General features: G+C 40.9%; 1 protein-coding gene and 1 long non-coding RNA gene across 3 annotated transcripts in view, besides 1 other annotated feature; both read left to right on the forward strand.

Annotated features, from left to right (window-relative positions):
- Window positions 1-27170, forward strand: part of LRMDA (leucine rich melanocyte differentiation associated) — a 1128545-nt gene that overhangs the window by 276734 nt on the left and 824641 nt on the right. The window lies entirely within an intron of this gene.
- LOC105378367 (uncharacterized) overlaps window positions 4098-27170 on the forward strand; it is a 31394-nt gene continuing 8321 nt past the window's right edge. Inside the window, exon 1 of the long non-coding RNA NR_132791.1 lies at window positions 4098-4211. This is a non-coding gene — a long non-coding RNA (uncharacterized LOC105378367). The remainder of the gene's footprint in view (window positions 4212-27170) is intronic.
- Window positions 19961-20105: a silencer, noted in NCBI's record as "fragment chr10:77488076-77488220 (GRCh37/hg19 assembly coordinates)". NCBI's record gives its function as "represses an EF-1alpha promoter that drives an FKBP-Casp9 reporter gene in an ReSE screen in HepG2 liver carcinoma cells {active_cell/tissue: HepG2}" and the evidence as "EXISTENCE:reporter gene assay evidence [ECO:0000049][PMID:32094911]".

Consider the following 27170-nt stretch of genomic DNA (forward strand, 5'->3'; position numbering starts at 1 on the left):
TATTTGTTCTTTACAGAACATAAAGTTTGAATTTATGGGTTTCCTTTACATTATTTCAACACACTCCACCATTTTCCGGGTTTGTGGTTTAACTCTCAGAAATTGGCTGCCAGGTGATTTAGTTATTTTGGCTTTCTAGTTTTATAGTTATTTAATACCGCAATGCCAGATACTGAGAAAATGGAGTGCATGGGAGGTGTGGGATTTGCAGTTTAGGCTCTCGTCATCAAAGCGATGTGATCCCTGGGATGAGGCATGGGGTTAACAACAAGGCACAGGAGATAGGAGATCATTGGCTCAATTAAAAAAAAATCCCACCTCAAAAATGTTATTTAGATGATCAGTCACCCAGGGCCTTGATGGAGCTTGAAAGGAAAAAAGGAACATCCTGCAACTTTGGAACGAGCAAGGGTTTCTAAATTAGTGGTCAAAACACCCCACCCAGTTTTGTCTGCTTTTCCCATAGCAGCAGCTCTCAGCATTCTTTATTTTCACCTGCTCTGTGTTTGCGAGGCTTGACCATATGGCCTCATTTTGAAGAATTTTCGTGCTTTTGCTTTTGTTTTTCCTAACTGGTAAAAGAACTTGTGTTTGAAGGCATTTGCATAGGAATAGGAAGTTGCTGCCTCTTTTTTCCTGGCAGAAGGACAGGCTTGGGAAATGGATTCCATACCTGCTTATTTCTTCACTTATTTGCATTGTCATTTGCATGGATTCCCTCGCCCCACTCTCATCTTCATCTTTTGTCTCAAATTTCATGATCTTACTTTTAACTGAACATAACAATTCTATGTTAAATGTTTTCAAAACTAAGCACCTTAATTTTTTTTATTAAAAAAAGGTTTTCCCCAGTTATTTTCTGTGAAATTAAATTTTTAAAGAGACAACAGGAAAATAAATTTATAGAGTAGATTGCAATGATGATGCTAACACTGGTGATGAGGACTTTACATTTTTGCATGAGGGTATGATGTGTGCATGTGCATGCATAAGTGTGTGTGTCTGTGTGTGCGTGCATGCGTATGTGTGCCTGTGTGTGTGCATGTGTGTGTGTCTGTGTGTACGTGTGTGTGTGTGTGTCTGTGTATGTGCATGTGTGTGTGTGTGTGTCTTCCTCTGCTTATAGGACATGAGTCCATCCATTGAGGAGCCTTGTGCATTTCATATCTCTTGGTGGTTTCTGACAAATATAAGCCATTGGCAGGTGAGATCATATTCCAGTCAAGGTCAATTAATCGTGCAGAAGTCATGATATTTGGGAAGCCAAGGTCCTTCTCAGTGGCAGTGCTAATGCAGGTTCTGTGGCTGAAATTCCAGCTCCTTTTGGAGAAGGTCTCTTGCTCACATGCTTAGTTGTGTGTGTATGTCCTTCCCCTTCCACTCGGCCCTTTAAGAGGAAGGGGCTCAAGGTAAGAGATGCTCTGCAGTTGGAAAGTTCTTTTGAACCCTGTCTCCTCCCTGAAAGGCATTAAGGAATATGGATTTGAGTGCTATAGATGCAAGATAATTTTGCTGCTCCTCACCTCCCTTGGCAGCCTTCATTAGAGAAGTAGGGAATTTGCTTAGCTCATATCACATTGTACAGGCCTGTTGTGGCTGGAAGGGAACCCTAGTTAATTAATATGAGAAATTTGTTTTGTATCCCTGGTAAAAAAGACGGTGCAGGTTGGTGTTGTCAGCAGAAGCTGCTTGTCACTTTGACCTCTTCTGTTAAGTGTTTGATGTGTTTTCTCAGAGTAATCTGTGAATAACATTATAGCCCAGCCAGAAGAGAAACCGAGGGAGCAATAGCAGAATTAATATCTGGGAGCGTTGATAATTATATATCAGAATCTAATTTTTAGCACAGAAAATGTGTTAATGACAGAGAGGAAAACAAAAACCACTAGCTTCTCCCAGCAGGCCCCAAAGTGTCATTTATTATTTCTCAGCTGGATATCTATCAAGTTTATGGGTTAATTTTTCTGTAGACTGTTATTTATGGGTTTTTGTTTGTTTTCAGCCATCATTACTAACAATACGGTTAATAGCAATCATTTGTTATCCAGTACTAGGCGTGATGCTTCAGATGAGAGCACTGAACTGAGAATACTCATTTGGTAGCTGAATAAGGCCCTGACAGGGCCCATTTATAACAAGCTCATTCTATAATGTCCATCCTATTAATAAAATTTTGTTGCTGTCTAATTAGAGATGTCTGATGTGTATAGGAGCACGGCAGAGGAGACTTTTTGCTGCTGCCTTTTTCCCCCCGCTTCCCCTGGTCTCTTCTGTCATAACCAGAGCCCATCTGGGCATGTGGGTTCGAGAAACAAAAGGAACGAAAAGTGAGCTGTGGCTGCAGGTTCTGGGTTAAATGTGTGGCCAAGGAGTGGTGTGAAGACTGAAACGCAGGGAGGTCTTGCATGCTCCCAATTCTCCTCTTTTCTTTTTATCCTGTGGGTGAATCTGCCTGGCTTAGTCATTTGCAGTTTGCCTCTCAAATTTGCAGTGATGCAAGGTGTGGCAATGGGACGCTGTGATTGATTTCTGAACAGAGACACCAAAACTTAAACATCTGAGTGAATGCTTAGTCCTTCAAAGTCATTGCCTTGAAAGGCAACATATTTGTTCCACTATCATTTCTCAAAGCCTTCTGGAAAGTTCTCTTGGTTTGTTTGTGGAAGCGGTCTCACAGTGTTTTATTCAATAAAAAAGTGAATAGTCTCCCAAAATAAGAATTTGGAATGATGTATTAAAACATCAATCTCAAAGTTTGGTGGTCGTCCTTTGGATCAAGAGACTGATTCCCAGTGGATCTTTCAGGCTTCTTTCTTAAATTAGAAAGAAGCTTTTGGGAGAGGTGATGGGATGTGCCCATCTGTTGGACAAGGAGTTGGAATCCTAATGGCTACTTTTAAATCCTGATGCCTTTACTTAGCAGTGGTGTGGTTTGGGGGCAAGTTCCTGAATTGCTGGGCCTCAGCTTTCTTAGTTGCAAAAAAGCAGGTACTAATCCCTAGAGAACTGTTCAAGGATCAAGTCACATACATGAAAATGCTTTGCAGGTACCTCCCAAATGCTAGGTATAATTATCACTAGTTACAATTCCCTGTTTTTTTGGAACATTGTGTAGAAGAACGTACCCCACTGAGCTCCTTTAAAGCATAGTCATTTTAATCATAGTTGTGTAAATAGTTTTACTAATTTTATTGCTCATATTTTAAAAACATTTTTTTCCACTCCAAGAGTAAAATTTAAAGAAATGTATAGCATTGAAAGTTTTTATCATCCTAATCATAGCTTATTGTGAATAGGGGGTAAGAAAAGAGAAGTTTAAAATTCAGAAAAGAAATATTTTATGAGTTTGGTGGGTGCTCAAATTATACACCTTTGAATTACAAGCACATACTCAGGCAGAACACTGAAGATTGTTTTAAAATAGTTTTGTTGCTAGGTAACTATTTTTTGCTCTTTAATAAGCTTTCCCCCACCCCGTGAAATGTTTTGCAAATGATCTTTTGAATAAAAATGATCATGTAGTATGTTTCTCCCAGCCTATCTGTTTGATTTTGAAGGTAAAACACACACACACACACACACACGTATATATGTTATATATGTATACATATATATATAACTTGAAAAATTTCCATCCTTAGCTGGCGATGAAATTGCCCTACGGAGTTCAGCTTGCACAGGCCTGGTAGTCTCCCGCTTTGTCCCATAAACTGCACTTGACTACAGCTTATCAACCCTTAATTAGTGCTACATTTTCTCCCTGTGATTTCTATTGATGTGTGGTATGGGAAGCTGGATTGAGCCTCCACCTGACTGGTGTGCAAATTGTTTTAGAAAATTCAGCAAACATCTCACTCCATTATCCCTACCTCATCCCTCCCCGCCCCCCTTGTTTCTCCCTCCGTGCGTCTTTCTCTCTTCCATTCCCCTCGATAGGAAAGGTGAAAAGCAGGACGATAGGAATCAGGTTGAGTATTAGTGTTTTTGCTGGTCTGTGCAATAGAAAACGACACGTGGCCGGCTGGGCCCTCCGTCAGCAGATCGCGGATCCGGAAGCAGGGAGGTGGCAGCGGGCGGGTGGGGGCGGTTGGGGGGGTGGTGTGGGGTCCCTCGTGGCCTCGGGATGGCTGCAATGTGATTGTGAGAGCCGGGATGAAGTCAGCACTGACAAAGTGAGGGGATTGATGGATGGACAAAGCAGGGAACTGGATGTGAGAATGGATGAGGGCAGAGGGGGAATTTAACACAGACAAACAGAATGAAAGACAGAGAGGAATTGCCTGCTAAAGTATGCCCGCCCTCAGCTCCCACAGCAATTTACTTACTGCTAACTGAACACCCAAGGACCGTTTGCATCTTTGCAGATTTTCCTACCAGCCGTGGCAGAGGAAAGCTTGCAGATTCCAGCCAGGGTCTGCCAGGCTTTCTTTTTCAGCGTCCCCCCACCCCCAGCCCCCCAACTACATTCACTGACACTCATTTAATTCAAACTGAGCGGCTGATTATTTCCAATAAGTTCACACAGGGTTTCTGCAGAATATGGTTCCTTCCCTTGCCATTATTTTAATGTTTCCACTAAATTTACCTTAATCAGTTATTGTTGCCTTGGTATAGCAAGTAATAATATTTACCTGCTCCTTTTGAAAATGATGTTTCTGGAAAGGGATCTATTGTTGCTTTAGGGAGGCATGGGATAGTGATAGTAATGCACACTTCTTTTGTGCAGGAAAAAGTTAGTGACTTTCTACCTTTACCCAGTCTGTGCATATTACCAAGTGACTCAATATTTAATCTGTAACATTTTACTTTAAGGTAGGAGATGTGTTCTAACCCAAACCCCAAATATGTTACATTAGGCAAAGAAAGAATTAATTGGGAGAGAAAGAAAAGGTGGATCTTTAATGTATAGTATTGCATATTTTACAATAGATTTATTATTTACAGAATGGTTATTTCAGAGAATAAGAGTCTGTGGTTGAAAAGCTATGAGAGATTTGTTAAAATTAATGCAATCGCTGATTGCACAAAACAGCAGAAGATAAATTATTGTAACTGAATGCCACACTTAAAGGTATATTTTATATTTAAGATTTTGTTTCCCTACATGGGTAAAGAATGCAATTTCCTGAGACCAGTTGATTCAAAGGTCTTGAATAAGAATTAGTGTTTTTAAAATTCCAAAATAGAAATCTAAAAATACAAAACAACACAAGAATTGTTTGAAAAATGAATAGGGAACTTATCCCAGGTTAGTACCATTTAAACTTAAGTGTGGTGGTTTCAAAATGAGCCACAGACTTTTTAATACATTCAAGAAACCTAGAATCTTATAAAGTTTGAGAGTCTTCTTTTCCTTTGGGAATACAGTGAAGGAAACTTTGTATTTTAGGATTGATGCTGATGGATCTAGTACTTCCTTAATCCACTTTCCACCCCAGAATAAGGTTTGTCCCTTTCCTTCTCCCTCCCTGTCTCTCCCTTCTCTCCCACCCTCTCTCTCTCTCCTCTCTCCCCAAATAAATGTCCTGGCAAAAGGAAGAGTCCCTGAATTGTTTTGCTCTGTGTCACAACAACATTTTATTTTTCTTAAAGTTTGCTGGTTTACATGTCCACACACCTGGTTTTGAGGCAGGTATTTTTCTTGTGCCACTTATTTCTCTCCTCCATAAAGTCTCCCTCCAAACAAAGACTTGTTATCTGAGGTAGGAACAGAGTTCTAAGAAATTTCAGCCCTAGAAGGCCCCCAGAATGCATGAACAGCTGCCTTCACAATTAAAGCCAAGGTCTTGGGAGAAGGGCTGTGGACTTGCTAGAAATGATGAATGGGAGTTAAAAAAAGAAATTAATAAGTTATCTATTGCATGGAGCTCCATGAGACATATTTTCAGATATGGCATAGATTATCTATCACTCTGACAATGTTCAAAAGTAGATTTGTCCTCGTGCTCACACCCATGTTCCTTGTGCAGATGAAAGGCTGTGGCAGCCTGGAAGCCATGCTACCCTCCTGTGCACATCCAGCGTCATTTGGGGATGATATGAGTTCAGAGCTGGCTAACTGCTTGGATATTATATTGTATATTAATCCCGGTATTGAGTAATTTTTCAAAGGTTGAAAATTTTGACAAGTGGTAGAATTAAGTTTACTAAAGCTGGCTCATACATGGCCCAGAAATAACAGCTCAATGGAACAGATCACATAGATTTCTGGTTCTTTTTGTAGTATGGAAACTTGGGGTATCCCCGTTCCCCAGTTGGTGGCAGTCTCCCAGATTTTCTCTGTCAGTCTCATGCTGTTGGGCATTTAGGCTACTTAAATTTTTTTCCTATATAAATGTAACTGTGAGAAACTTTGATCTAATTGGCAATTAATAACAATTTGATTTTTTTTTAATTATGAGGGTTACATTTTCCATCCCTCCTTCCCTTTCTCCCTTTTCTTTTGTTCCCTTCCTCCTTCTTTCCCTTCCTCCTTCTTTCCCTCCCTCCCTCCCTCCCTCCCTTCCTTCCTTCCTTCCTTCCTTCTTTCCTTCCTTCCTTCCTTCCCTCCTGGAAATCTTTGAAGAAAGAGTGATAACTCTTCTCACACGTAGAGCCATGATATGTGGAGACAGGTCAAGGGGAACTGGTTTCTTTTTGCCTTTACTGGGAGTTTTGGAGCTTCCATGATATTCACATCCCGTTTGTCAGCGTATCTCATGACTCACTACACCTGTGTTTCACAGAGGCTGGTCTCCAAGTGCAGGAGCCCGATTCCTCAGTGGTGCTGAGACGGTGAGGGGCTGCGGTACGTGCGGGCAGCGTACCATTCCCCTTGTGTATTCTCTTACGGTCAATATGGATCTTACTGGTGCATCCCTCCAAATCTCTTGGACTTTTCAGTCTTTAAGTTGGATGGTAATAAACAAAAGAAAGTTTGTTATAGTTTTGTTTTATACCTCTCAATTTATTTCAATCATTTTTCCTTATTATAAAGACAATATATATTCACTGTAGAAAGTTTGCAAAGATCAAAAACTTCTGAATAAAAAAAAATCTGTATTCCTACCAGAAGGTCCCACCACTAACATTTTGTTGTAAATCTTAACTGCCTTTTTTTTTAAATACATATATATGTGACATTTTTGAAAACTAGGATCATTCTATAATCTTACTTTGCAATATGTATTTGCACATATCAATATGTATTTTGAGCATATTCTCATGTCATTAATAATTCTTCTGAAACATGGTATTTAATAGAGACGCACAGTATTTAGCCAAGTATATTTTGCCAGTCTTAAATTTTTGGGCATTTAGCCTATTTAATTTTTTTTTACCTATATAAATATAGCTGTGAGGAACTTTGATCTAATTGATAATTCATAATATTTTATTGTAGTTTTTTAAATGACTGAGAGTTATCTGTCTCTCCTTCCTTCCCTTTTTCCCTTCCTCTTCCCTCCCTTTTCCCTCCCGCCCTCCCTCCTCTTTCCTCCCTTCTTGAATTATAAGCACTTGATTGATCATAGTTTTGGAAGACCAATGTCTGCTCCATATGAGTAGTTTAGAGAATGTAAATTGTTCATTAAATCATTACAGTCTTTCAGTATTGTTAACAACATCAGTATCACAATCATCTACTTTAGAATCACGAATGTTAGAATCTATCAGTGCTAGAAGAGGCATGCTGGAAGATGCAGCCTTCCAGTGGTGAAGGAGCCTCAGGACCCACTGTTGGGGCTAAGCACCTGCTACAACCAGAGCAGCTCCACTTTTAGGGTTGCACATGAATTTCCTTTCTTCTTTTCTTTTGAAGTAAACTCTACTGCTACACAGTTAATCTAGTCTACCTCCATTCCTCCCATAGATGAGGATACTAAAGCTTAGAAATGTTAAGTGACTGACATCTTTTGCAATTCTTTGTCCCCTGAGGAGAGATTTTGAATTGAGGGTGGCACTTAGGTCCTTGGCGATATCATGAGCTGGCAAATTAACCTTGGAAACCTTTTATCTTTGGACTTCTTATGTTGCTATATAATAAACCCTCGTTGTTTATGCCACCCTTAGTTGGGTATTCTGTTACTTGCAATCTAAAGCATCCTAAAGGGTAGAAAAATCTCAGAACAATGCTTTTTGTCCAATGCATTTGAATTAAGATCTGCTCAAATGTTTCTTTGCCTGCAAGACTCTCTTCAACACTCTGTGTTCAATAAGACAAAGGGGGAACTACAACTCTGACATTGATTAAAAGTGTTGCATACCTTTAGGTTCAAGCTAGTGGGTGGCCTCAGCTTCCATTCTGTGCATAGGAAAGGAGACCATGGGGGTTCGATGGTGCCACTTGGGAGGGCCCTCCTCCCTGCCTCCTTCTCATGTGTCTCTTTTGCTCAGGTCCATCTTCATAAATGGTAATTTCAGGAGCCCATTTACTCCACATAAAAGGTGAGTGACTCCGTTTATAATAAATCTCAGTGTGGTGTGCAAGCTATCATTCCCTTCATTTGACCTTGGTGGAACAGGCTGATGGGGCAGCGAAAAGTATGATATGAAAAATGAGGGAGCACAGCAAAGTGAGCAGTGAATCAGTCTTGTGTGTGATTAGCTGTGAAAAATCTCACCAACATGACTCAGAGTCACTTTTTCTTTTCTCTCTTTTCCCATCCCCTTTCTCTCTCCCCATAATATCTCACCAGCCACCCCTCAAATGAGCTTTCCTGCATGTGACTGCCATGTCTGCACCAGTAGCCCTCAGATCCTTACAGGGCTTCCTGGATTGTGAGGTCTGGGCTAAGGGAAATTAGGCTCAGAGGAGGAAAATATTTTGGGGCAGGGGGTTGGAAGAGGGCTAGTGGAGCTCAGCTGAAGCCTTGGGGAGTCCCCCCCAGGGGCACGTTGAGAAGATGTGAGTGTGACAGAATGACTTCAGCAGGCATTGTAAATCTGCAGTCATACCTGAGGACTCAGTGACTCATGGTTGAGGTCTCCATCAGCTCCATTTGCAGAGTCAAGCCCTATAAAAACAGGGCGATGGGATGGTAAATCAGGCTTCCTGGGGAATCGTGGGATCCTGCAACAGAAGGCTTGAGCACATAAAACGGAAGCTTGCCTTTAATGGCACGGCCCTTATTGCCACGCTGCAGAGGCCACCTTGGTGGCACAGCGAGGAGCTTTGGGAGGAGAATTTCCTGCTGCAGCTTGTCTCTTCTGGGGATGCTGTCCTTCGATGTCCTCTTGGTGTGACATCTGTGGGCCAGGAGGCAAGGAGGGTGATGAGTGGCTGTAGATGCTCCATGTGGTTAACCTCACCAGATGACTTCAGCTACCTCATTAATGTCCCTGCACAAGCTGCAGTTGCTGCCTTCCTCCCCTTTAAAACAGAGCACATGTGTTCATCTTCAGAACCAGCAGAGGGTAGAGTGTTCATGGAAATTGGGCCCCTGCTAACAAGTCCTCTGATGGGAATGATGGAAATATTCTTTGTTCATTATATAGTCTGTAGCATGTATTTTCTGACCACCGAGTAGTTCATTAGTTCAGCCATATCGCACCAACATTTGCCCTACTTATTGGACATAACATTAATTATGATTATTTTTAGATTTTTAAAGTGTTTTATTGCCTCAAAATGTAGTCCCCAGCTAGTGAGGAAGGAAAGCTTCCTAGTGGATGAATTAAGTGAGTTTATAAGAGTGCTTTGTAATCTGCTTTTCATTTTTTCCTGTATAAATGGATACTGATTTTTCTGAAGGTGCTCAGACATGACCCTTCAATCTTATTTGCACCATTTACTATCTATCAATTGTTGCCACAATGATGCTGCTTGACAAAATGCCCCAACACCTAGTGGCACTCGATCAGCAATTATTATCATGCTCACAGTTTGTGGATTGGCCGTGGAGACTCTGCTTCATCCTGCAGGTCTGTGGGTTGGTTGAGCTGTTCTCTTCTGGGTGTTTCTATTTTGTCTGGAACCAATGGGCTTTCCAGGCAAGTTGTTCTCAGTTCAGGTCAGAGACTTGGAGAGGGCAGAGGAAATATGTGAGGCCTCAAGGAAGGCCTAGACTCAGCCAGCCCATTGTCATTTCAGTCTACATTCCAGGACCGAATGAAGTCTTGTGGCCAAGATCATCATCAGTGGGTTAGGGATAGATACTCTGGTGGTAGGAAGTACAAACTCACAAGGCAGAGGGCCTAGGAGCAGGAGAGTGAAGAATTGAGAAGGATTTCATAATGCACCATTATTTGTTTATTTAGTCAACATGTAATTTATGAAACACTTGTCATGAGCCTGGTTAGGTTTTCCATCAGAAATCAGACAGAATTCAACTTCAGCCTTTTCAAAACTTCCAAATGTGTTAGGTGATTTAATAAGGTTTTACTGTAAAAACAGAGTAGGTATTTAGTAAAGGTATAAAAAATTAAAAGTGGAATTTGAATACATAAGAATAATGAGTTGTTGAATATCACTTCCATGTTTGTGTGTTCTTGGTTACTATAGTCATATTAACCGTCATGTTAATGAGTGGTTGTTGTAGATACAAAGGATAAATATCTAAAAGAGGACAAATATCTCAGTCAATAACCATTTACTCCTATCCTGGGTCTTAGTTGTTAATTTCGGTTATATGACTTGAGCTTGTAGAATAAAGTGAAGCAGATTAACAAATCATCAGAAAGATCCCTAAGAGAGTTAAAAAGAAAAACAGATTAGGGTAAATTTTCATTTGGCATTAATTTCCCCAAAGATATAGTCCTACAGCAAACATTGCAAGATTGACAATTGTGTAATAGATGCATAACATGTCCAAACAGTTAAGCTGTTCTTCAATTAACACCCAGCCCTGTCATGCCATATGTACTACTGAGTTTAAGAAGGATGCAGATTTGGCAGAAGTCCAGAGGAACCATAGCAGTAACAATGATTGGTGAGATGATGTATCTGAAGAGCTTTTTGGGGTTGGCATTATTTGCCTAAAGAAGAGAAGCTTGAAGGATATTCCTCAGGTGTACCAGGAGTGGTTTTGTGTGACAAGGTAACCAGCTGTTCTCCATCTTAACCATGATGTGAATAAAAAGAAGTTTCACAATTTACCATGTTTAAATTAAGTTAGACCTGCAGAGAACTTCTTTCACTTGTTACATTCTGTAGTGGTGTCCCAGAATTGTTTCTTAGTCGTAGAGTATTTCTCCAGGGTGGATTTAATTTTTAACTTTTGAACAGGAAAGAGGTTATTTTCCCTAGAGTTGGTCATGTGTTATTCTCCCTGGGGGCCAAGAAGCAGAATCTTTCTGAAAACCTGTTTCTGGATGTTGAGGGAGAAGGTAGGGTTTGCACAGCATTGTGGGATTGTGGGCTGAGGTAATGAAGTGTTCCGCCTCCTGTTGCCGTGGGATGGCCATGGCCTACCCAGTCTGAGGGGACAGCTTGTCGGTTCTATTACAGAGAGCAGTAAAGAGTCTTTAAGAACTTTAATTTCCACAAGAAATGGAAGGCCTACTTTCCCAATTACTTTATAAGCTGGATATGGTAGGAGATAATCTAAGAGTTTTGCAGGGGATGTTCCCTGGATGTTTTAATGTTGGATGGTTCACGTGGAGCCCTCATAATTCAGAGATTGAAGCCAAAGTGCCTCTGTGTACCTAAAGTACACATTTACAATATCTTTCTTCTCTATTTAAAATAAAACCCAAAATTTAACAAGAGAAACGGCAAACTTCTTGTGTTGTTTTCTACTTAACCCTGAATTACCATACATCATACTCTAAGATTGTTTTCCTAAATTTGCAGTAATATAGATTATTGAGTCTATGTCTTACATAATCCAAAATTTGAGAATCCTGAGACGGCACATCAAATCTTAGTAAAATAAGAAAATTATATACATGGGAAGGAAGGGAAAATAAGCAGCAAATAAGATGGGGTGAAAAGGAGGCATCGTGGCATTACGGAGAGAACACACGGGCAGGAGACTGAGGATTTCATTTCTCCATCACTAATTGCATAATCTTATGTGAGTCACTTAACAACATATCGTGATTCTTCCATCTATGAAATAAAAGGCTTGCATTAGGTCATCTCATGATTCTCTCCAGTTCTAAAATTATTTCATGCATAGTCTGTGCTACATCTTTCTTGGAGAAGCAGCTTTGTTTTCCTGTGCCCATTCTGTGAGTGGAAATGCCTTCGAAGTTTACTTTTTAGCGAGCTTAACAGAGTAGTCTTCAGGTTAGTCAGTGAAATTGTGTCGACTTCTGAATTCAGAGTTGTGAACATCAGCACTTAGACCACTCTTCCACTCCTTTGCTTTGAGCCCAGTCGGTGATTAAATATAGCATCTTTTGCTGTGGATTCAGAACTCTGTCTCAGAATCCTTTTAATCACAGCTCGCATCTACTGGGTGACTAGAGTTGGCTCTCAAGATGAAATCTCTTTATTCTCCTTGGTCCAGTGTGTGTAGACCTCTGACAATGCAGGAAGTTGGGGGAGTGGTGGAGTATAGAGAAACAGATTCCTACCCAAGACGGCTTCTCGGCTAAACTAAAGAAATTGGGAAGCAAGCATGAGAACCCATGATGGGAAGTCATTCCTGGGTAGGGGTTAGTTTGGGTTTCATCAGGGTATTTCAAATCATCAGAATGACTCTGTTTTAACTATGCCGTGCCATCTTGTGGGTACACAGAATGCCGTGGAAGATAGGTGGAAATGATTTAAGACATTTGACTTTTCAACAAATACATATTTGAAAGCCAGTGGTCTTTTGCATAACCATTTTGTTCTGGCTCCAATCTGAGACTGTTTGTAATTTACAGTATGTGACATTAGCCTTTGGACCAAACAGTTTCAAAGCCATCCAAGCTCTGGGAATTGTCATCTAGTGCCCTGCTTAGCTTTCTGCTCTGAGCATCTTTGAAGACCGGGTAGGTGTTGGGGAGTGGGGTCTGTGTGGGGATGGAGAGGAATTCTGTATGTGATGACACAGAGAAGGATTTAGTTTTTATATATGTATACGTACATTATAAGCATAATGTATGTGTAATTTCTGTGTAGTTTATAAGGCAATTATTATTCCAAAGGTGCCCAACTTAAGATTTACAATAAGAATGTGGCAAAGGAGAAAAGTATATTAAGATTTGGGGTTTCATAATACATTATTCAAAAACAGCTGTGGTCAAGTCCCTTGACTTTTACAATGGAAAAATAGAGTCTCTGGTGATGGATTATTAGGGATTCTGGGTGAATTCTGGAACCTGGATCTTTAGAATGCAAGCAGCCCTGCCGAGGTGCTGGGCTCATCTCTGTGTTCCCCAGCTCCATTCCATTATGCACAAAGGTCCTTTTCTAGGTGACATATCATGTTGTATTCCAAAGTACACTTTCTTTTAATTTACAACTTAATTTTCAACCTAATTCAGAAGATTGATACTATAATGCTATTTGCAGAAGTATTGAAATGTCAGTAAGTTTTATTGTAGTAATAAAGAGTATTCCATATATCACACACTCTATAGGGATCCTTGCTTTTTGCATAGATCTTCGTAGCAACAACCAGTGGCTAAATGCTGGCAATCATTAATTTTTAAAGAAGACGTGGTTATGACGAGTTGAGGAATTAAGGCTGGTGGTGAAGAATGAACTTTAATTTTTTGACACTTTTTTTTGGGGTTGCCTACTAAGGTGAGGTGACGGCAAGATTATAAAAAATGGCCCAAATCCCAGGTTCCTAATACTTAAAATGCTGTCTGCTCATAAAAAGATTTTAGTCGGGGAGAGGCCATCTTTGAACTCCTCGTAACAAATGGGTATCAGTGGCCCATGAAATAATCAATGCCACTAATCCATCCTAGGGCCTGCCAATATGTTAATGGCCCTGGTGCATCGTTATTGCTACAAGACCATAAATCATTCTGGTACCAGAATGCATTGCTGTTGAGGCCTCAAACCCCTCACTTGGAATAAAATTCTGTCTCCTAACAATTAATGTCCAAACATTTTGCAGCTTTGTACCTTGATTGTTTTCAGATGCTAAAAAAGTAAGTAGGACAGATTGTAAATCAATAAAACTATAAGACAAAGTGTTTTAATAATAGAAAGATTCAGAGTAAATCATAGTTCTATGTTTATTATTGCTTTTGGGCTTATAAATGAAGAGTTACTTTCTACTCCCCAGCAAGTCTACCAGGTTAACATGGGGGCACCAAGTCCAGGGCTAACCTCCGTGAATGGGGTTTCCTTCTGTTGTGTTACCCTGAGAAGCAAAAACTGGCCAACTGGAGCCACAAATCTGACTCTGTATGGTAGGGCGATGTTTAGTATATGGCGGATCTGTTTTGGGGTCAGTTAAATGAGGGAGTTTTCTGTTGGAAACAGCAAAAGTAGCTCAGCATAAAATGGTTTCTTTGGCAGCAGCAGGCTTTGGATAGGCAGTATGATGAGATGTCAGTGTGTGATTAATTATTTGGCTGTGGTGACATAGGTGATGAAATCACTTTAAAACAGGAGCCAAGTTGGTTTGAGTTGCCTAGGAGTTTCTACTCATATTTCTTTTCATTAACTTATATAGCCTGGGAGGTCAACTTTGGTCATATAAATACCTGTGCTGAACTATAGGCAACCCAAGAGGAACTCATTTAGGAAACAGAGTTGCATCCAATTGATCTGATTCCCTTTGGTCAGTGTCAATTTAGTCTTCTATTGAAGGTGTTGAGAAACACGATGGGAAGTCATTAACTCTACTTTGTATAGACAAAGCTTATTTGTGCCCATTATGGTGTTACTTGTTCTACAACTGTACCTTTGGCATGTGCCCCTGGGCATTAATGAAGGTTAGATCTTCAGCCTGGAAGTGTGAGCTTGCCATTTGCTTGGGAGCAGCCTGTCCAAGGGAAACAGCCTGAGGAGCCTGCCATGAACTGGCTGGTGAGCTGGAATCCCACCATGAATGGAACTGGGGACATTTAACCCAGGCTGAGCCCATTTTCCATGGCAGGCTGAATGTTGTGATGAACCAAGAAAGTAGACAACTGCATGGTAACAGAGCAGAATGTGGGGTCTTTGATACCGTTAGCTTTTAGATCACTATGACGTTGAAAGACATCGTGATCCCACACAAACATTATGTATTGTCACAGTCCCAAACACTATTCAGCAACTGTCATGCAGCAGGAGAAGGAGGGGGCTCTTGGCCTCTGACAGGACACCACTGTCTTGCAGTTGTGTGTCCCCAGTGCCCAGCTCCAATGGGTGTTCATAGTTTATTTTGGGGCTCAGGAAATAGAACAGGAAAAGGCCGGAAAGACAGTGGCTCCATATAGACAGAAAGACAATTAAAACTGATATGACTCTTAACAGAAGTGGCAAGAGCAGGCAGGATGGAAGTAATTTATTCAACGAATTGTCCAAATACATAAAATTGCACTGATGTATGGTGTAGCGGTGGGACAGTGGAAAATTTGATAGTTGTTTCCGTTGTGTGAATTACTCAGACAGGATGCCTTTGTGAAGTATGGGGGTTTGTTTAATGTTCTGACAACAATTTAGATCCTGTTATGGTTATTGCAGTGTAATGCCGTAGTAAAAATTGAACATGACACACCAGCAATTTATTATTTGTATGTTTTTTAACCTTGAGTATCGGATTGTTTGTCCAAGCATATCCTTTGATTTGCTATGAAATTTATTGTTGATAAAAACAATCAGATTTCCATTAGATGCAAAAAATTATTATTTTTTTTGCCATGAACCATAGATTTAGGGAAGAAAAATTCAGACTAGGGTACAGGACTTATGACAGGTAGACTCATGACATTATATGGTAATTCAGCATGAAAGAATAATTGTGACACTCTACTTGGTTGTGGAGTATAATCGTGCTGTGAGGTTCAATTCACTGAAAGGCCAAATTATCTTCAACTACATTAGTCTGACAACCTATAATGCTCTGCAGAGGCAATTTGTAGACGTTTCACAGAGTGCCAGCAAAACAGGGCTCCCCATTATGCCACCCATTAACAAATTTGTATAGAGAAAAAAGTAACTTTTCCATTTTCCTGACTGTTTTCAAGCTTTACAACATAATAAATATCTAATAGTAGTATTTGCATTGCCATTTACTCTCTTAGTTTCAAAATTTATCTGAGGTATGGGAAGAGACATTTCTCTCTTAAGCTATGTAGCCTAAGAAATATTGATATTTTCTTTGACTTAAGCAATGGCGTGGTGCAGGGGAGAAAGCGCAGGATTCAGAGGCCCCCACACCTTTGTCTTGCCGGCTTTTCTGTTCTTCCTCACTTTGGACTTCAGTTGCCCCATCTCTAAATGGAAAATTGTAATACGCTCATCTAAGAATCTCAGCGAGTGGGTTAAGCTAAAGGGTTCTTCATATTCTTCTAGCCACTGTAAAAACAATTATATTGGAGAAGTTCCAGCATAGGAGAGTGTCGGCTGTTTTGTATTGCTGGTTTTAGGAGTGGACCCACAAGATGGACAAGTGTGATTCTCAGCCCTGTGTTGCTTGGTTGCACCTGTCTCTAGATGCCTGTCTCCAGAACCAAATCCAGGGCTATGCCAAAATGAATTATTTTACTGTTATCATCTCAAATATCGAATATGCACCTTGATTTTTCTCTAAAGAATGAAAAAGCTACTCCTGTGCTGTGGAAATTTAGGGACACAATGTATTTGATGATTGTTTTGGAAAATCGTTATTCATAAACCATATCAGATGAATTGTGAAAATGTTGGTTATCTGTACAGGTATTTCTGCTTGTGAGGAAATGCAAAGCTGTATGGCTAAATGTCCTAAATATTTATAGAATTTTTATATTTTCACCCAGATTTTTGGGAACTGGAGAATCCAATCCCCTTTTTTCCCAAAGGCCAGTGCCACTTTTATTGTTGTTCTTTCAAAACAAAATTATTCCTGTAATCCACCGGTTATTTTCTGCAGTAGCCACTACTGGATCAAAATGGAGTTTACAGGGTAATAAGTTTGCTCAGAGAGGCTGGGACAGCAGAAGTGGCCTGAGGGGCCGAGCCCCGCTCTTCTTTGTCTCCTCTAGTCAAAGGGTCCTTTAAAAGGTCTCATACCTTGGGAGCAAATGGGCCTGGAGATGAATCAATCTGTTTCTGGTAATTGATTTATAATTTATGATTTTATGAATCGTCAAACTTCCTACATCGTTTTTGAGTAGCGTTGTGTAAATCACTCTGTGTCACACGATGAGTTGAGTCCCAATGTCAGAGACTGACCCTTCATTATGACAGGCCATTAGGTCTCACACCTGCTGCTTTCAGGGGAGGTAATGGCTTTTCTTAAGGATAGATTTGGATTCAGCCCTCCCTATTAGAATCTGAGATGCAATATTGTTTTGGCTGTTCCTGTGTAACTTAGTCTAAATTCAAGCCATAAGAAAAAGTAAAACATTAATCTTAATAATCATTTCCAAGGACTGTATCTACCTTGCCTGTTTGACTGGGTGGGAGGGCTTTTGCCTTATTATTCAAGCCTTTTTATTTCAGCAAAACTTAGGAGACATTTCTAGAACCCTAGAGTAGAGATGTTGGATCAGTGGTCATAAGTTGAAAAAGAATGTGTGTGTATGCATCTCCTGCCCTATGACCAGGTGCCCTATCCCCTAGGGAGTGGGATTTCCAAATGTGTGGCTCTTATCTCCAAGGGGACCGTGAAGAGAGTGTAAGTAGTTTAGTGCAATCAGTCAACACTACTGGAAAAATGTACCTAAAGTTTACATGCTTCAGAGGGGAGTTAATCACCTCTTCCCTGGTATAAAAGATGCCCTGTATGTGGAAGGCATGGATGAAAGCAGGAAGGGCCCTGTTAACTGGGGAGACACATTAAGCATGGAATGCCATTACAGTGGGGGAAAATTCATAAGGAGAAGAACGAAAGTTGCAGTTGGGGTTGGTGGTGAGTGGGGGTAATAGATTGTTTTGCAGGTCTGGTGTCCCAGTGGTATAGTTAAGGACAAGCTAGAGTGTTCATGTTTACACATAATGCTCTCCCATGTAATTTTGGCTGAACTGTTGCTGACTTACTTAGCATCCATAGGTGAGCCACCTGCAGAAAGGGCATGCAGGTAGATTATTGTTGACTTTATGGTTATAGAACCTAGCTAATCAGTGTGCCTGCTGGGCTATAACTTGTTATGCCTGAGTGGTTTTTACACCAGGTCTTACGATTTCTTACTGGCAAAAGGGAAAAACACTCATTTCTCATGGCCATGGCCCCTACTGGGAGGGAAGCACTCATCTCATGTAGAGGAAAAATACAGTGGTAAAACTCATGATACAGAGGTTTCTGGAGTGTTTGAAATATGACCAATATGCCTACTTAGCCTTCCTTTGGAGGACTGTGCGGTTTCACAGAATGCAAGCCCTCATAGCCTAATGAGATAAGCCGGCCATGGCTAGGAAGTCTACTACTTGCTGTGTTCTAGGATTTTTGAGACATCCTCAGTCCCTGCCCACATCCAACAAGTTGGAGAGCCAGTTATGGGTACAATGATACACTCATGATCATTCTTCCTTTAGAGCTTGAGTTACTTTCAGATGTGGAGGAGATTTTCCTTCTGCTGTTTTTCTCAGTGTCTGATTATGCAAGGTTCTAGTCCACATAGAGGCCAGCACATGGTGCCTATTAAGTACTACCTTACAAATTGCTTTCACCTTTGACGTTCCCAGTAAAGGTCACTGGTTAATTTTGCATTGTGTGTGGCCTGTTTCGCTAGCTTTAGCTGGCTTTCCTCCCTTGAATAATTTTGTGAGCAATGTCCCTGGCGTTCGGGTTCTAGCTTGCTTCTCTGGTATTTATCTTTGCCATCCTTCACCTGATTTTTCTTCTCTGCGGTGATGCTGTGTGCATGTTTCTGTGGGATGGAATCTCGATCAGTTAAAAAGCGTAGGAGATATGAAAGGTCAGCATGACAAATCTGTCCTCTGAGCGTGTGTATGTGTGTTTGGGTAGCTGAGCTCAGCTGACCAGGGAAGACAAATAGGGAATGTGAAGAGGGCTGCCTCAACAGCCTTTAAGTTAGAAACAAAATATCTATTGCATGGAATATGAGTGTTAGGGCATCATATTAGAAATTCACAAGACTGATATTCTTGTCTTCATTTGGAAAGGTCACAGGCTTTATTTGCAGTAAGATATGCATATGCTTATCGCTTGCTTTTATTTTCTCTTTTAAAATGTGTATTATATACCTACACTGTGTATATTTTACAGATGCTTATTTTAACCAGTAACCATGTTCTTTAACGTGACAATGCAAAAAATATCTTCAGATATGATTTTAGCAAGTTATTTTACATAACAAAGAAGATGATAATCTGTGGGTATTTCTGTTTCCCTCAGTTAATTCCTTTTCTATTTATATTTTGTGCAGCTGAGAAAGGACATTTCTAGTGATGATTTGAAGCTTTTCTAATTTAATTTTATTGTTGTATACTTGTCTTCACTAAAAATGCTAATATCTGTAAGAAGCTGTGGCTTACCTTTTAGTTTGCTTCATTAGATGGCTTTGTTTCCTGAAGTTACCCAATTTTGGGGAATCATCTGACTCAAATTTGCATTCAGGCCATCTTTGATTTTTTTCCCCTTAATAAAGGGAAAAAGGGAAAGAGAACATATTTTTTTGAGTGGCTACGTTTAGCCAGACACTGAATTATTCATTATTTCATTTAGTTTTCATAACAACCCTCTGGGGGATATTATGATCCCAATTTCACAGATGAGGAAACTGAGGTTTAGAGAGGTTCCCAACTTTGCCAGAAGACACACAGCCAGCCATCAGTGAAATGGGTATAGAAATGTTGGTTTGACTGCAAAGCCTGTGCTTTTTTCCATGACACTAAACTGCATAATCTTCCTCCTAAACACACAGCATCTCTAGCTACAGTAGAAAAGTGATCCCCAAATAACAATAACCCAGACCAACAGTGATGAGTGCATTATATTGAAAAATGATAGGGATTGTACATAAAACCTTACGAAATGGGCTGTCATTAAAAAATGATGTTGCCCTTGAACATTTATCATGTGCTTAGTTCTGTGCTTGATACGTGGCTCTGTGTGTGTGTGTGTGTGTGTGTGTGTGTGTGTGTGTGTGTGTGTATGAAAGGTGCATATACAGAGGTGGTAGACACTGGAAAACGTGGTCCACATCCTCAAGAAGGGCAGAAAAGACACATCTGAAACTTGAATGAATGGTGGAAATTCATAAATGAAGAAGGCTGAATTACTGTGTGGATCAGGATGCAGGTACTAGGTTAGTTCAGAAGAGACGGAGCACTGGGGAGGAGGCAATGTGATGGGAACCATGAACTCGATCTGAGCCTTAGAAAAGGGTGAGTTTCAGGTGTTCTAATATGCAGGTGGATGTGCTGTGCTTCTAGGGCTGGGAGGCTTGAAGCTTGTGTGGAGAAAGGGACTTAATGGGATGGTGGCTAATGGGGGTTGAGTGTATACTTTTGGGTAGATGGATAAGTTGGTCTGTGTGTGTGTGAGGCAAGAGTGGTGGTCTCCCCCTGCCCGTGGCACAGTAGCCATGCTGAGCCCCTCTCATCGTGTCTCAGTCCTGCCCACCTTCTCTCCTCTGTGCCTCTGCACATATCACTCTCTCTATTAGCCTCCTGCTCATCACCTTCAGGTCCAAGCTAAAAGGCTGCCTTCTCTGGGAAGGCTTTCCTGATTTCCCCATTAAGTCTCACTCCCCCAGCCCTCTCTTTTGCCACATCGCAGGACTGGTTATATTTTATAACAACTCATGCAGTCGTCTCCCTTACCAGATAGAAAGCTGCTGTGAAGGGAGGACAGTTAGCAGGTACTCGGGCATATAAATAGCAGAATCTTGACTGAATTAGCTAATGAATGAGTGAAGGTGTTTACATTTTATTAGTTAACTAGGGAAAGCCAGGGAGTTCTATGTGTCCACTGAAATCTGAAGGAAGGTTCATTTGCTGGTGCATTGGCACAGTAGGGCCTAGTCCCCAAAGAAGACAGATTTCTCACTGGATCGCCAGCTTCATCCTTCATCGTCCTCTCAGGAGTTCCTGATCTTTCTTTTGGACAACGTGAGCATATTTGGCCATTTTATCTAGACCTAGCAGGGGGCATCCTGAGATGGGAACTCTTTAAGCTAGTAGATTCTAGAATTACTCAATCACCCTCAATAATTCAAATGTGACTGCTGAAACCAAGAGAGTTTAGTTTCTTGGTGTGGGAAGGGTGTGTGTATGAAAGGGTATGAAAGTGTGGGAAGGGCAGGCAAAGAAATGGGGTCATGAAAATACTAAGGTGAGGGAGTTTATGTATCTGTGTGGTAGTAACTTCAAATCATGATTGAACAAGGACAGGACACTATATGTTGACCCACACCAAACAGTGATAGGATGATTCTGACATCTTGTGCATCTGGCTGGGTTTTGTTGTTGTTTTTGTTGTTATTGTTGTTTAAAGAGACAGAGTCTCACTTAGTCACTCAAGGCTGGAGTGCAGTAGCACGATCATAGCTCACTACAGCCTGGAACTCCTTTGCTAAAGCAATCCTCTCACCTCAGCCTCCCAAGTAGCTGGGACTACATGTCCACACCACCAAGGCTATTTTTTTTAAATTTTTATTTGTAGAGAAGGAGTCTCTCCATGTGAACTCCTGGGCTCAAGGGATCCCCAACCCCCACCTCCCCGCCTTGCTCAGCCTCTGAGCAAGTGTAATACCAAAGTGTTGGTATTACAGGTGTGAACCACCACACCTGGCCTCTGGCTGAGTTTAATGTTTCCTAGTGCCATTCTTTTATAACACACCACTAAAAATTCCCTTTCGTATTCTGCCTGAAAGCACTGTGACCATTCTTGTTGATGTCCGAATTTAGTGACATGTTTCTTTTTCTTTTTGGGTGGTATGATATGGACTCAAGTTGCTCTATAGAGCACTGACTTTTTCTTGTTCACGTAGATCTCAAATATATCTCAACACAGATCAACAGATGCACAATGGCCACGACCCCACCATTCACCTCTTCAGTATGGTGACTGATCTGTCCCTCCCGACCCCCGATGGTGCACAGACACTGGAGATCCTATTCTGGGCAGGGTGCTCTAGCACTCTGAGGACTTTTAAGGTCAGATTTCCCAGCTTACTGATGAGCGCGTCATATGAGACCAGACAAACAGGACTGCTGCAGTCTGGATGGATTGCATCTATTGCTTTTCTCTCATCCCACTTCCTGTCTCTCATCCTACTTCCTGTCACTCCATCATTGAAGGAAATTAAGCTGGCCTGGCCTGGGTTGCTCTTCATAGAACCTGCTGGTTGTTCCCCACACCCTGGGCTTTTTCAGGTGATTGCAAATTGATTGTCTGATGAATTATGCACAAGAGCCACAAACTTTCCTTTGGCACCTTGAGTTTTTTATATGGATCTTAAGCCTTGAACCTTCTTTTTTTTGAAGAAAGAAAATTAATTATTTTCTTTTTTCTATATAAAATTAAATATATAGGAAACTTGAGAAGGGGCATTTTTTAAGGCTAAGCCCACCTTTGCTCATACTAATCTATACTTTTTAGCAGTTATTTTTGAGAGAGTGATTTATTTACACTGACAGCTTGTTACTTATGGTAGCTGCTGCCAGCTTCTGAAGTAATCTGATAACGTCAAAATGTGAAGGGAAGCTATAGGCTTTACCTTGACTGACTTGCTATAAATCATGTACATTGCTGGTGTCTGTATGAGGATGCTTGGGTTGATACTGATGGAAATACAAATCAAATGCAACACATGGTAACCCAATTCAGAGCTAGAGATTTTGGATTAAGCCTATTGGATTCATATTTTTTAAGTGAAACAGAGCAGACATACCAGGTTGTGTTTTGAAACTTCACAACTTTCTGATATGGTAACTTCAAGGACAACACCTGCCTTTGAAATGGAAATGCAAAGAGGTGAAGTCATCATGCACCTTTGGTTCCTTTATTACTTCAACACCCATCTCTGTTTTTTAGCACTTTCTGTGTATCATTATGCCAAGGGAAAGGTATGACACTGTTTTAACTATTTATCTGTAAATGTGTTTGTCTGTTTAAGCTCCATGAAGTAGAACGTTGTCTTTCTCATCACTATATGCCCAGTGCTTAAGATAGTGCCTGGCCCACAGTAAATGTTCAATAAATGTTTGTTGAATGAGATTAGGGAGCCCAGAGTTTGAAATTTTAGTGTTGGCAAAACCTTGAAGTCATGCCCCAGGAAGAAGAAGTCATTCCCATCTCTGGACTCACCATTAAGTCCTCTATAGTCCTTTCTGTAGATTTCTGGTAAAGCATGTTTCATACTGCAAAGTAATTGCTGATTGACACGTTGGTTTCTTCAACTCTAGCACAAACTCTGATACGATAGAAATGATGTCTGGCTAATTTTGGACTTCCCAGGGCCTGGCACATGGGTGGCCCTGAATAATTGTTTGTAGTCATAATGTAACAGGATTCTTATAAAATCAACTACCTATAGCTTTGTCTTTATATTTTCATAATGACATTGAAAAAATCCGAAGTATATGCATTAAATTCTAACAGGGATCATTTTGCCAAGTGCTATAGAAGATGATTTTTGTATTATTCCTTTGGATTATCTGCATTTTCTACCTTCTTTTTATAGTGACTAAGTATTTGTTAAATGAAATAATAGTAGAGGGAATATTATTTAAGTTTTTTCCCCTAACACTTTTACGTTACCTATGGAAATATGAATTTGTGAGTTTTTTTGTGTGTGTGTAATAAATTTTTATCAGTTGGTTCAACCAAATGCATCAGGGGGATTTGCTGAATGATGGAATCCTTTAGTAGATGGAGCACCGACTCTCAAATGTGGCTTTGGTGTAAATCTGGATACCTAACGACTGGGTATGCTTACAGGGAAGCATGCCTATGTTTGGAAAGGAAGCATCAATTGATGCGGAAGACCAAACCATGGGTAGGAATCCTGGGGCAAGGTTCGTGCTCTCCTCTAACATTTGCAGATTCTTGGGCAAGAGTACAAATGGAAGCCCCTATACCATATGTCTAAGTATTTATAAACCAAACTAACAAATGCTAAATAAAATATGCTCTGTTCTTTTATCACGACAGATATACTTTTGTTAATGAATTGGAAGTCAATTGCAATTTAGAATTCTCCACTTCTTTGGGGAGCTGGAATGTGGCAGCATGGTGAGAGCCTCCCCTGGGTTCTTGACCATCCCCCTTCTCTGTGCAGCCCTGGCCCTCTCTTGTGTGCTGAGTATCCTCATTGCACATGTGTGTGGATGGGAAATACCACAGCCTGCATGTCCAGACTGCCTATTTGTTCACAGCTCACCACGAACAGCCATCCCTCTGGACTAGAATTGCACATATTGGTTGACTTTTGTAGGATGGCTTACTTTTGATAGAGTTCTGGATACCCACAGTGGAACTTAGAAGGTGGAGGGCACACTGTGGCATGCTCCTGGGCCCTGAGGACTTCTTATCCCATGAGGAGGAGCATGTTGAAAAAAGCTGAGCTGAAAAAGATTGAGGAGGGTCCAGGGAAGCAGTCTCCTTGCTCAGGCCTGAGAGTATATTGCTGGTGATACAGAAATGCACTGGGAAGCTAAAGGTTCATGGCTCCAAATTTAAGGACAAGCCCCATACTTCCTGAATTATAAGCCCAAAGATCACCTTAGATTTAGACCAGTGTTCATAGTAATCCAGTGGTCTCCAATTTCAGTGTAAGAATGTCTCAGGGGTGGATGAAAATGAATATGTGGGCTATGTAATGATGAACTGCTTGTGTCCCATGTGTTAGTATGACAGCCATGCCCAGGCCTCTGCCAAGTTTCCAACATCAAAGAGAACATGCATAGAAGGCACTTAGCACAGTGGTGAGCTCTGCATCATTGGTGGCTCCCATTATTGTGATTACTATTATTCTGAATTGATTCCTGTGTTTTACCATCCAAGAAAGGCCAGTTAGGTTGGGTAATTTTCTGTGGTTTGAGTGAGAATAGGGAAGGAGTTCGTATGGTTCATATTTGCCACTGTCATATTTGTCATGCTTATCTGTCTGCAAAAGGTAAACTGTTCTCCTTCTGTAAACATGCCCTTTATCTCCTTGCCCTAACTTCATGAGCAAACTCTCTGGCCTTTCTGTATGAGTGCCACAGGTTGACTTTTTTTTCCCACACAGAGCAAACAAAAATGAGTGGGACTTTTTATTGAGATGATAATGTGGCCTGTTATGGAGGCAGAATGAGAGGTCATGTGTTCATTTCTTACCTTGAAGTTTGCTGCTTCTTGCCGTGCCATTGCTGGAAGGGAAAGGAAGGGGAAGGGAACCCTCTCCTCAGGAGTTAGCAGAGAGAAGGGAAGCAGTTTTCCCTCATGAGACAGACACATCTTTTAAGGTCTTGTGTCTTTAAGTAGGGTTGGAGTGGGTTGGGGGATAAAGATGTTGGGGATAATGACAGTTATCTGCATAACACTAGATTTGTCTTTCTAAAGTGGTGGATGAATCATGAAGCCTAAAGGAGGTGAAGAAATGGACTTTTATCGGTAGTAGCCTACTTGGAAATAGAGAAGTTTTCTTTGAGAAGGAGGCTTCTCAAGCCCTTTCCCTTCAAGATTCTTACCTTTGCTTGGGCCTCACCCAGCTGTTTCTACTGCGTGGGAGACACAAGGGAGATGGTTATTGGATTTGCATGTTAGTTGAGGAGCCCAAGATGGATAGGCCCTTTCTTCTGTTGCCATCTGACTGCTCAGGGCTGGAGTGTTCTGTGGTCTTCTAACTCTCCTGCTTGCTTCAAGTGTTATATGTGGTTTGCCAGGATGATATGAACTTGGATATGCAAGAAAAAAATTAAACAATAATAGAGCTGAGTCAAAAGAGAGAAAACATCCAGTAGTTATTGAGAGAGAGAATGAAATCACACATGGGCGTAGAGAAAACAATCACCGGAGCCACCATTTAGGAATGAAGCAGAGTTGTCAACCCCTGACATCCCCCGCCATGTTTAGCCTCTGAGGAGGAGTGAAAAGTCACAGGGTGAGTATTCAGGAGAATTGGACTCTAGTCTGGAAATATCACTTCCTCTCTAGGTCTCGGTCCCTACTGTTTAGACTAGACCTTTCATTTCCTTTAAGCTGTAAGAATTTGTTACTCTTAATTATATCAATATATAAGGAATTATTTGGGATTTTGAAAATAAATACATGAGTTACCATGGATTCATGCATGTGTTCACTTACTCTGTGAATGTTTATTGAGTACCTGCTCTTTGCTAGGCACAATGCTAGTTGCAGAGGACAGGGCAGACCTGGATTCCCCTCTGTGGCACCTGCCATCCTGCAGGGAGTCCTGTCCACTCAGTATATGCTAACAAGCCCAGCAGGCTGTGGTATCAGAAAATAGGATGGAGGGAGTGGCCAGGACTGGGAGAAAAAAATTGAAGAGTTTTAAGACATGTATCAAGCATTTTTGTTTTTAGTTATTTGCTCAGATTCCACATTCTTATAGAGGCCCACCCTGGTTGCTCGATTTAACACTGCAGCCTGTCCTTCTGTGATGCTCCTGATCCTCTCATGCTGCTCTGCTTTTTCTCCTTCCCTTGCCGCTACCCCTTTTAGCATTCGCTCTAATTTACTTATTCATGATGATGATTGTAGATTGTCTGGCTACCTCACGCTGAAATATATGCTCACAAGAGCAGTAATCTTTGTCCTCCGTGTTCACTAGTGTATCCCAAGTACCTGCAACAGTAGCAGGCACTCAATAAACATTTATTGAATGGATTAATACGTGACTATATGACTGAGGAGTACAGTAGGGTATTGTAATGACCTTGGAAAAAACGTGGTATATTATTCAGAAAGTCAGTCCTGAGAAATTGATGGCATTAATCTACCAATGTTATAAAAGTCTTTTGTTTTGGGGGGTGTTGATGTATAATGGCAAAATGAGAAGTAGAGGGTGGCAGACCACAGCATAATCCTGCAGCTAGCTTTGCTCAGGGAATGACCTTACATGTTTTCTTGGTTAGGTTGAGTTGAGTTGAGTCAGAAATTCTTTTTATTTTTGCTCCCATGAAAAACAAACTAACTAACAATCAGCAACAAAAACATCACATTCAGCCTAAACTCCTGGATTGGTACTGAGGGATATTC

Source organism: Homo sapiens, chromosome 10 (assembly GCF_000001405.40).
Source record: "Homo sapiens chromosome 10, GRCh38.p14 Primary Assembly".
In the NCBI taxonomy this organism is placed as follows: Eukaryota; Metazoa; Chordata; class Mammalia; order Primates; family Hominidae; genus Homo; species Homo sapiens.